Source organism: Homo sapiens, chromosome 12 (genome assembly GCF_000001405.40).
Source record: "Homo sapiens chromosome 12, GRCh38.p14 Primary Assembly".
Classification (NCBI taxonomy): Eukaryota; Metazoa; Chordata; class Mammalia; order Primates; family Hominidae; genus Homo; species Homo sapiens.
This window is the reverse complement of record NC_000012.12, coordinates 18,080,580-18,091,845: the sequence shown is the minus strand read 5'-3', so window position 1 is coordinate 18,091,845 and position 11,266 is coordinate 18,080,580. Positions and strand designations below refer to the sequence as shown.

At 34.0% G+C, this 11,266-nt stretch overlaps 1 protein-coding gene across 3 annotated transcripts; it reads left to right on the top strand.

The window, feature by feature from the left end:
• On the top strand, nucleotides 1,653-10,977 carry RERGL (RERG like). 3 transcript variants are annotated; one of them, NM_024730.4, is made up of 6 exons: nucleotides 1,653-1,757; nucleotides 2,461-2,617; nucleotides 2,890-2,946; nucleotides 6,153-6,226; nucleotides 7,181-7,329; nucleotides 10,373-10,977. In NM_024730.4, the coding sequence occupies exons 2-6, from the start codon at nucleotides 2,563-2,565 to the stop codon at nucleotides 10,653-10,655; spliced, it is 618 nt and encodes a 205-aa protein (NP_079006.1). In that variant the 5' UTR covers nucleotides 1,653-1,757; nucleotides 2,461-2,562; the 3' UTR covers nucleotides 10,656-10,977. The 3 variants fall into 3 exon arrangements, 2 of the variants coding, with proteins under 2 accessions (NP_079006.1, NP_001273130.1); NR_104413.1 differs by lacking the exon at nucleotides 2,461-2,617 and having other exon boundaries at nucleotides 7,284-7,329; NM_001286201.2 differs by lacking the exon at nucleotides 2,461-2,617.

The window sequence follows — 11,266 nt, the reverse complement described above, 5'->3', positions numbered from 1 at the left end:
GATGTGGAGAAATAGGAACACTTTTACACTGTTGGTGGGACTGTAAACTAGTTCAACCATTGTGGAAGTCAGTGTGGCGATTCCTCAGGGATCTAGAACTAGAAATACCATGTGACCCAGCCATCCCATTACTAGGTATATACCCAAAGGATTATAAATCATGCTGCTATAAAGATACATGCACATGTATGTGTATTGCGGCACTATTCACAATAGCAAAGACTTGGAACCAGCCCAAATGTCCAACAACGATAGACTGGATTAAGAAAATGTGGCACATATATACCATGGAATACTATGCAGCCATAAAAAATGATGAGTTCATGTCCTTTGTAGGGACATGGTTGAAGCTGGAAACCATCATTCTCAGCAAACTATCGCAAGGACAAAAAACCAAACACTGCATGTTCTCACTCATAGGTGGGAATTGAACAATGAGAACACATGGACATGGGAAGGGGAACATCACACACCAGGGCCTGTTGTGGGGTGGGGGGAGGGGGAGGGCTAGCATTAGGAGATATACCTAATGTTAAATGACAAGTTAATGAGTGCAGCACACCAACATGGCACATGTACACATATGTAACTAACCTGCACGTTGTGCACATGTACCCTAAAACTTAAAGTAAAATAAAAAAGAAAAGAAATGTAAATGATTACTCCTGTGATCAACTTAGTCTGGAAATGAAACTTTTTCACTTGGGCCTCAAAATTTAGTACACACATGTAGACTTATTGTATTTGTTGTAGAATTTCTACATATCTAAATTGGGAGATAAAAGAGAAAGACAGTAATGGGGCAGTAGGGAAATCTGACAAAAAGAAATATGAAAAACTCATCATTTTGCATACTAAATTTATCTCTTTATTATAAAGCAGGAATGAATCATGCCAGAATACCCCTTCCAAATTTTCTTTCCTTTATCATTTCTCTTTTCTAATTTCAATGTACTACAGAAGGAAATATGACAGGTTTATATTTATTTTTCTAACAAATGACATTGATTGCTTTATTTTTCTCCAGAAATATTGCTGTTTTCTATTGACAAAACATTTTTAAAGGAGAAATTACTTATTAAATAAGACATTGGATAAGTTAAAACTCTGTACTGCCCATTTTTGCTTCTTGAGAATCTCATATGATTCACAAACATGGTCTAGATATTTATTTGCATTGGTATCCAACCTAAACTTCTAAATCCTAGATAGTTGTGCTCTTTTTATGATTGAATGAATGGATTTCCCTTTTTTTTCACAGAAGAAACCCTAGCAGATATAGGCTCAGATACTAATAAAACAAAGAAACCAATCCAATCAAAGTAAATTTACAGAGATGTTTACCCATCCTCTAAAAATTTTCTAAATGAAAAGAGATTATACTTTTTTTTAGGTCCTAGGAGAAGGTAGATTCCAGGTACACAAAAATAGAGACTTGTAAACTAAGGTTCTGTTATAAATATATACATATTTTCTTCATAAGCCTTTGTGTCTAAACAGTAACTCCAGTTTTTTTTTTAAATGTTATATGAAAACTGAGTTGAAAACTACTCTAGGAAAACATTTTTAAAGTTATTGTTGGCTGGCAGGAATATGGGGCGGAGTTGAGAAATGAGAGCAGCAATAAAAAGGAAGTTAAAAAAAAGCTTGTCACAGGGCAGTGTAGTTCCAGAAAATAGGACTGACCAAGAAGCAGAAAAGCAAGATGAATGATGTGAAGCTTGCTGTCTTGGGTGGTGAAGGAACAGGCAAATCTGGTGAGTGGTGACATCTTCTCTGTTATCATAGAGTGTAGAAAGAGTGAGAAACATTGACATGTTAACCATTAACCACGTATTTCATATATATTTCATATATATGAAAATATATCTATAATAACATTATCTCACTGGGATGATAGGCACATTATCTTTCATTAGGAGTTTTCATTTTTATAGGTAAGTAACTGTATGTTTATAGAATATATAGGCAGGCATAGCAAGATAAATATCTGAAATGTTAATTTGTATATTGTTCTACTGATGTTTACAATTCATAGGAATAACAGGAAATTTCTGCATCACTATCCCACCTACTTCTCACTTCAACACACTTGCCTTATACCCACTAGTTCCCAAACAATGGCCTTGATAGAACTCATCTGCTCTGAAACTGGGGTAGGGAGATGTTTGGAGGTTTGTGGATTGTATTTTAAATGTAGCATTACTAAGATGAAGGAACTTTGTGGGGCGCATGGCTTGGTGGATGTTCTGGAACTGAGCAATAATGTGCTCTAACTTTGGAAGTCATGCTTTTGTTTTGCTGTGTTTTGCTTTGGTTTCGGTCACATTATAATGGTGACATGCTACCAATAGGGTCACTTGAGCCTAAAGAATCATAGCATCTTAACTGGCCAAACCCAGGAGCTGTGACATGATGAATGGATACCAGAGGTTCTTTTTCTATTTCCTGGATTTGTAGGTCCCTACATCCTTAAATAACTGCAAATACTTGGTAGTGTCTTTGTGACTATTACACATAGTACCTTGAAGCCAGACTGAGTTTGACAGAGAAAATAAACAGATGTCAAACTTCTTGCATCTCAAATATAATGAGAAATCTGTTTCTGTTACAAAAGGTAAGTGGCCTTATGTTTTTGTGGTAATGAATTAACTGCATAGTGATTTAGATGTGAAGCACTTTAAGATCACTTCCTTTCTAACTTTCTAATCATTTGTTTGTACCATGGAAATATTGTTAACTACTATTTAGAACAGAATTTGGTCTAATTTTAAAGTCTTTATTAATTCTTGAATATTTTTGGTTTAAGAACTAAAGCCTTATGCACATAACCAAATTAGCTGTTTCCTAAAATATAACAGCCCTAAATCTAGATTGTTTGCTTTGCAGCCCTTACAGTGAGGTTTCTTACTAAGCGATTCATTGGAGAATATGCTTCTAATTTTGGTAAGTCACTACTCTAGACATTTTTACCTTAAAACTTTTAACATCGTAATTAAATCCCACTTAAGTACAGAGATGCATTTTGATAGACTATACCATTTTTATGCATATGAAACAATTTATTTATTCACATATTCTGATTAGAACTGCCAAAATAGGTACTTGAATTAAATGTTCTTTTATGGTAAAATTCACCCAATTTGATGTTAAGTAAGACAGTTGGTTTCAAAGTCTGGAACTGGAAAAACATTAAAACTAAGATCCTCTCTTCAAAATATTGTAGAAGATGTAACTGAATATTTCTTGTAAGGTATAAAACAACTTTGAAATTCAACATTCTTTAAAAAATAAGAGAAAATTAATACTAAAACCACAACTAACAAAGGAGTAAAGTTTATTTTTATTGTAAAACCATAAGAAAATAATAGGAAAATTATGCCTTGATTAAATATCCTATCATTATCTAAGTCATTTATATAAATGTAGAAAAATTCTAAAACACATGCTGGGGCATTTTGATATAATTTTAAGATTATTTCTCGAACTCTTCTATAAATTTCTGTTTTTTGACTAGAATTAGCATAATATATGGGAAATAGTACAACACAAAAAGTGAGAAATTTTGCCATAATTTTGAGCATATTTTTGGCTCACCAATTAAACAATATAATGGTGCTAATATCTTACCCAATTGAAGAAATGAAATGAGGAGATGAATTTTTTTCTTTTTTAAAAAATAAGAATGGCAGATTACAGAAAATACAAAAATTGAGAGAAAGGAGAATGTTTTTGTTGATTATTAGTTATTTAGACTAAGAGGAATTTATGATTGCAAGTGTATTTTTCCATGAGAAACAAAAATCTTTAGCATTCAATCATGAAGTAGCATAATTGGAGTATCTCAGAAAATAGCTTTAATATATTACATTGTGTTTTTCCCTACATGAATTCAACATAGTATTTCAGTCCCTATGACATTATGAACATTTTAGGGCAAGAGCTTGAAAGCTGATTATAGAAAGTTGAAAACGTAAAAAGAAAAATTCCTGTTGTTTCATTTGTGAAGGCAACGACATCAGTCAAAAAGGTCAACATAACATACAAGTTAGGACTCGGGCATGAGAAAATGTCCCAGAACTAAAAAATAAAACAAACACAGAACGATATGCTATCCAAATAACAACAAAAGCCCTCAACTTAAACTTTGATATAATATAGTTGTATAAATTAATGAAATGTTTACATATTTCTGGCTGTTACCTCTCGATGAAAAATAAAAGACCTAGAGGCATTTTTGAAAAGCTAATCAAATGATCAAAAGCTCATTAACTCTATGAGGGCAAACTAGCAAAAATGACTCCACTTTGTATATTAAAACTAGAAGGGGAAATAATACAATTCTAAAAATGTGAGAATTGATGACACTTGCTGGCAGTTTTTGAGATTTGAGAGTGGATAGTTTTAATTGGCTAGAAGGAAATAGTGTGGTTTGGAGTCAAGAATAAACCTATAAAGTTTAGAAGAAACTGGCTGAAAACATAATTTAAGGTTTCAAGAAACTGTAACAAATTTCCTTAAATATAACCTGGTAGGAGTTAAGAAGTCAACCCTAATCCTCTGAGAGATGGGGAGTCATTGAAGAAATTTGATCAGATAAGTGATGTGATCTGGCCACAAGGTTCACTTTTACTTCTGTGTTGAGAATACACCAGAAACAGGAAGGGTGTTAGAGGAAGGATGGAAACAGAAAGATGACTTAGGAGGCTTTGTGATAAATTAGGCAAGTAATGATGGTGGTCGAGACTAGAGTGTTAGCAATGGAGATGGTGAGATACAGACAAATTCAAAATATATTTTGAAGGTAGACTAAAAAGGAATTTTAGAATAAATATGTGACATAAGACAAATAAATAATCAAGGATAATCCTAGGGTTTTTTGCCTGAGAAGCTGGAGTTATGGATATGCCATTTAACAAAATGGAAAATTGTAGAAGGTGCAGCCTTTGCAGGGATATCAGGGGTTCAGCTTGAAGTGTGTTAAGGTTGAGATAGCTATCAAGTATCTAAATGGAGATGTTCATTAGTAAGTTATTTGTGTCCGGAGTTCAGGGATGAGGTCTGGGCTTCAGACATAAGTTGGGTTCATCAGAAATAATTGGCATGTAAAGGCCTGGGACTAGAAGAGATCTGAAAAGGAATGTAAGAAGAGAAGAAACCTATGAACTTGATCCATGTTTGAAATGTGAGAAGTCAGTGGGGGCGGGGAGAGGTGAACAAAAAAAGATTAAGACGGAGCAACAAGGAATTAAAAAACAAAAACAAAAACTGGAGACAGTGTTGCCTTGAAGGTCACGTAAAGGAAATACTTTAAGGAGGTAGGAATGATCAACTACATTAATGCTACCAATAAGGCGAATAAAATCAAGATACAGAATTAACCATTAAGTCATAATACATTTAAGTTAGAAGAAATTTTTCATGTTTGTAAGATGTTGCTAATTGTATGGTAAAGAGGAAAAAATTATGATATATAAGAGGGAAGTAGAATTGCTGAAGCCATGTCTTTCAGTGGGTGAGGGGAAATCATCACTAGCTGAGAGTGAATGGATTTACTTTAGATGGAAACACAGATGTTCCATCCACAGTAATAGGATGGAATATAAGTATATGAGCAAAAAGGTATGTAGGTGAATATAGATAGTGGTGAGATTCATTTGTAAGAAACATATTGGCTGGGCGCGGTGGCTCACGCCTGTAGTCCCAGCACTTTGGGAGGCCGAGGCAGGTGGATTACGAGGTCAGGAGATTGAGACCATCCTGGCTAACACGGTGAAACCCCGTCTCTACTAAAAATACAAAAAAAAAAAAAAAAAAAAAATTGGCCAGGCGTGGTGGCGAGCCCCTGTAGTCCCAGCTACTCGGGAGGCTGAGGCAGGAGAACGGCGTGAACCCAGGAGGCGGAGCTTGCGGTGAGCCGAGATCGCGCCACTGCACTCCAGCCCAGGTGACAGAGACAGACTGTGGCTGTGGCTCAAAAAAAAAAAAAAAAAAAAAGAAACATATCTGAGTAAATACAACAAATACATGCTTTCAGTCACCAGCAATATAAAAAGAGCACAATACGATTCCACTAAAATGTGAGTGGTTGAATTTATCAGTTCACGTTTGGAGTATTTTCATACTGACAGTGGATATGCATATTTTTGCAGAATCTATCTATAAGAAGCACTTGTGTTTGGAAAGGAAACAACTAAATCTAGAAATATATGACCCTTGTTCTCAAGTAAGTAAAACAAAACACCTTTTTTATTGATTTATTTATTGATTGATTTTTTAGCAATTATGATTTGAAGATTATATGGGGGTAAGTGAAAAAAGTGAAAAGTTGCGGTGTTAAAACCGAAGTTTCTTCTCATTTTAATTATCAAAAATTTAAGAGATTACTTTCTAGTGTTGTCAGTTCCATCATCTAGCACGTCTGTAAGTTCATGTCGAAAATGATCATATCACAAATATCTTTAAAATTGCAACATTAGGCTGTTTCTATATTTCTATCAGGTTACAGTGTCACTGTCAGAAGTTAATAAGTGACTTATCAATTCACTTCTTATTTTCACTAATTGCACTTATAACTAACCAGTTGTCAATAGAACATAATAAATAAAATAGATTTTAAGTACAAACCTCCTTGTCTATTCATATGGGAAAACAGTTAAAATGGGATTATACACGTAAGAGAAAAGTGGCCATTTATTCAGGGTTTCAAAACAACTGTATGAGACAGATCATTTTAGGTAAATCAAAATGTATCTTAAATATTTTAGCTAAACCCTTATAATATTTTTGATTTTTATTGATTTAAATCTAGTACCAAAAATCAATAGATATTCCATTTACTAACAGATAAATGATATATTTTCACAACAAATATGTGGATATTATTCAAAAGACAATTATTGTAGCTCATCAAATTTTCTGAAAAAGTGGAGATGTTTTCTTCCGGAAAAGTTATAAAATTAGATAGATATAACTTTATTATAGTTCTGTTTTACATTTAGTCACTTTTAATTAAGGACAAAGCAATAAGAGAGAAACAGAACTATATTTTAGAAAATATCAATATTTAACACATTGATGTATCTTCCAGCGGAAGTGGGTCTCCATTAGTTAACTGTTTAAAGTATAAAAACACAGGTATTAGATCCCACCACTTTTAATGCACTTGGTTTATTTTCAGACACAGAAAGCAAAATTCTCCCTCACAAGTGAGCTTCACTGGGCAGATGGGTTTGTTATTGTGTATGACATCAGTGATAGGTCTTCATTTGCTTTTGCAAAAGCGCTGATCTACAGAATCCGGGAGCCACAAACTAGTCATTGTAAAAGGTAAGGTATTTTTCATTCCTTTCTCCTTTCTTTTTAGTAAATCATCATATAGCTGTAAGCATCATTAGGAAGAGTTTAATACAGCCTTCCAATTACAAAATTTAACAGCCCTGAACAATTCACCTTCCTATTCCACAGGAGTTACACATGTAGTAAAAAGAATAAGATGAGAATGCTTTATATCCTCGCTGACATAAACAGTTACTTGCCCCGAGTAAATGGCTATTTTACAAGACAGCTTCTATTGTTAACATGACACTCCCTTGCAAAATAATGGTCCTTTGTATATAAGATAGTTATCTTTCCAACCTTTTCTTTTCATTCTCACAAAAATGTTAAGGATACTAAATAAATTCAGATTTATTACGTTTGGCACCACATGAAATCCAATTCCTAGTCACTGAGTTGTTCAATCTATCAAAGCAAAATAGACTGAGTAATCAAACTGTTTACAAATTCTAAATATGAGAATACATTTTTCTCCATTTTACCTCCTAAAGGGCTGATCAACAATTCCTTTTTCTTAATTGTCTTGACACAAGGAACTATGAAGGAAGACATGATTGTACCTTAAGCTACTGTTTCATTAGTAGATCAAAGTTTAAGCATCTGAGTTTTCCATTTTAGTTTTCCCTATTTTTCAGTCATTTTGGCCTTTTCCATTGAAAGTATTTATTTTTGCTCAACATGCTGATTGTAAAAGAGTCTTTGTGCTTTTAACCAGTTTTGCCCTTAGAATCTAAATAGTATTCTAATCTGGTAAGTAAGAAAAGCACAATATTATTACTGAGAATTGGTATGTGTACTTTTAATAACTATTTTAAATGCCCACTATAAAGAAATCATGGATAATAATTGATAAAGTGTATTTCCCTGGAGTTAGATGATGTACATTCTTGCTTTCCTTTGATTTGCCTTAAGTAAGCCACTTTAATCTCTAGAGCTCATTTTTCTAATTATTTAACTGGTGGAAGCAGGATAGGAGAAACAGATGTGATTTTACTAAGGTGCCTCATAGCTCTTACTTCCTATAATATTACTGATATTTTAGAACTCCATTGTTTCAATCATTAAATATCTTATATTTAAGCATCATGGTGTAGGTAAGGGACAGGACTAAAAAATTCTGACATTTCTTCAAATCAGAGTAATCACTCAAGAACACTTAAAAACATACTGAAAGTATAAACATTTGTATTGGACATTTTTCAGGAAATATTTCTAGTTTATTGACTAGATAATCCTTTGAATATTCCCAGCTCTCAATCTGTAAAAAGACTAGGAAAGCAAAATATATCACTATTTCATTAAATTATATCTGATATTTGTGTCCCACCCTTGAAAATACATGTATATATCCTTCCTCATTTACCCTTTTCAATAATTTTATAAACTAGACTAAAAAAAGACCTTAGCAACATTTTTAAAAGTTCACCACACATTGTCATTTGAATGAAACCAACTTTTAGTGGAATCAGGGCCAATAAGAGTTGAAGACTGACTGTGTGCACCCATTTTTTTCCTTATAGTAGATACATTTGCAGTGTTCTATGCCATTTAAAGCCTAGTGATTTTAATATATTCTTCAACTCAAACTCTATTTTTATATTGTTTCTTTATAACCAAGGAAGACATACTGATATTTTCAGAGACATTTTATCTTAACAAAGACACATTTCTTAAACAGGAGAGTTGGACAAGTCCATGAGATTATACAATTTTCTCTAGAGCATGCTATAATGGATATTAGCAGAGCAAAAACAGCAATAAATATTGAATAATATTTTTGCTTATGAAAATATTGTCTAAATTGTTCAATTATAGTAACTGTATAAGTAAAGAGACATTTGCTAGCTCTTCCCTTGCAATTGATAAGGAACATGAAAAACAATACTTAGTAAGCATCTTTCATTGCCTGGGCCTGTGTTAGGTATTTTTATGTACATCATTTAATGTATACAATCTCCATGAGCTTTAACCTCTGTGAGAATTCTGTGTGAGGAGGATTATTTTACCATTTTTAAAACTTTGAATTTAGGTTCAGGGTACATGTGCAGGTTTTTTACACAAGTAAACGTGTGTCATGGAGGTTTGTTGTACAGATTATTTCATCACCCAGGTATGAAGCCTAGAACCCGTTAGTTAATTTTTCCTGATCCTCTTCCTCCTCCCACCCTCGACCTTCCAATAGGCACCATTGTGTGTTGTTCCCCTCTATGTGTCCATATGTTCTCATCATTTAGGTCTCACTTATGAGTGAGAACATGCAGTATTTGGTTTTCTGTTCTTGCATCAGTTTACTAAAGATAATGGCCTCCAGCTCCATCCATGTCCCCGCAAAGGGCATGCTCTCATTCTTTTTTTTTTTTTTTTGGTTGAGACAAAGTCTTGCTCTGTTACCCAGGCTGGAGTGCAGTGGCACAATCTTGGCTCACGGCAACCTCTGACTCCTGGATTCAAGTGATTCTCCTGCCTCAGCCTCCTGAGTAGCTGGGACTACAAGTGCGTGCAACCACGCCAGGCTAATTTTTTGTACTTTTAGTAGAGATGAAGTTTCACCGTGTTAGCCAGGATGGTCTCGATCTCCTGACCTCATGATCTGCCCGCCTTGGCCTCCCAAAGTGCTGAGATTACAGGCGTGAGCCACCGCACCCAGCCACTCTCATTCTTTTTTATGGCTACATAGTATTCCATGATGAATATGTACCTCATTTTTACATTAAAAGAAACTGAAAGTGGAAAAGGTAACAATCATACTTGGTTAGTAGACAGCACCAGAATTCAATAATAGGTCCATGTTACTTCAATTCCTGTGCTTTAAGAGACTTGTTGCTTCTGTGCCATTTACTACATTTTATCTAAAATGATTTTAAGTAATTGGGGCTATGTGTAACTGTATACACACATGACCATAAGTAACATACACACAATATTTTTTCTTTTTTGATTTATAATCCTTTGGTTATAAATCTGTTTTTTTTTTTTTTTTAAAAAAAAGAGTTGTTAAAACAATCTTGCTAAAAATTGTGTATCTCTATTTCAGAGCTGTGGAATCAGCAGTGTTTTTGGTTGGCAACAAACGAGATCTTTGTCATGTGCGAGAGGTTGGCTGGGAAGAAGGGCAAAAGCTGGCACTGGAAAACCGATGCCAATTCTGTGAACTGTCTGCAGCAGAGCAGTCTCTGGAGGTGGAAATGATGTTTATCAGAATTATCAAGGACATCCTGATAAACTTCAAACTCAAAGAAAAGAGACGTCCCAGTGGATCTAAATCAATGGCCAAATTGATCAATAATGTATTTGGAAAGAGAAGGAAATCTGTTTAGTAGACAGGTAATCCTGGGAGATTTCCTATATCAGAGAGTTTCAAACATTCACATGATAATTAAACTAACCTTTGTATGCAATTTTTTTTTGGTAAAAAGAATTCTCTTGGAGATATGAAATGATTGAGTATGAACCACAGCTGTGTTTTCAAATATGTAGTTTGCCTTTTTGGTTGTTGTACCCTGCTCACTCTCCTTCACACAGAACCTTTCATTTATTGTACAACATCACACTCACCCTAACCTACTGGCGGACAGCGATCCCAGTTTGCCTTGCCAAATAAACTCTGTTTATGTGAATTTATTAAACGACCATGCCATAGTTTGTGGTTTACCTTTATTTTATATAGTTATTTGGAATGAAATGGGTATTTATATTCATACAGTTAATAGGTCACAGAGCTTAGTTTATCAATCTATGAAAGTTCTTCATTTATTTAATAGAATTGCATGCATTTATTTTAATCATGTCTTTACAATAATTCAGTAGCTTACATAATATTATGCATATAACTTAGGCCCCTAAGCAAATTCCTTCCCCAACAGTATATATATTCTGTAGTTGACGTGATGATGAAAAAGTCTACTCTTCCCCATTTCCATGTATCACG

Excerpts from the sequence above, each read along its gene's own strand:
- RERGL (NM_024730.4), top strand. The coding sequence starts at position 2,563 with ATGTCAAACTTCTTGCATCTCAAATATAATGAGAAATCTGTTTCTGTT. Across the intron at positions 2,618-2,889 it reads ATCTGTTTCTGTTACAAAAG|CCCTTACAGTGAGGTTTCTT; the intron begins GTAAGTGGCCTT and ends TTTGCTTTGCAG. Across the intron at positions 2,947-6,152 it reads AGAATATGCTTCTAATTTTG|AATCTATCTATAAGAAGCAC; the intron begins GTAAGTCACTAC and ends ATATTTTTGCAG.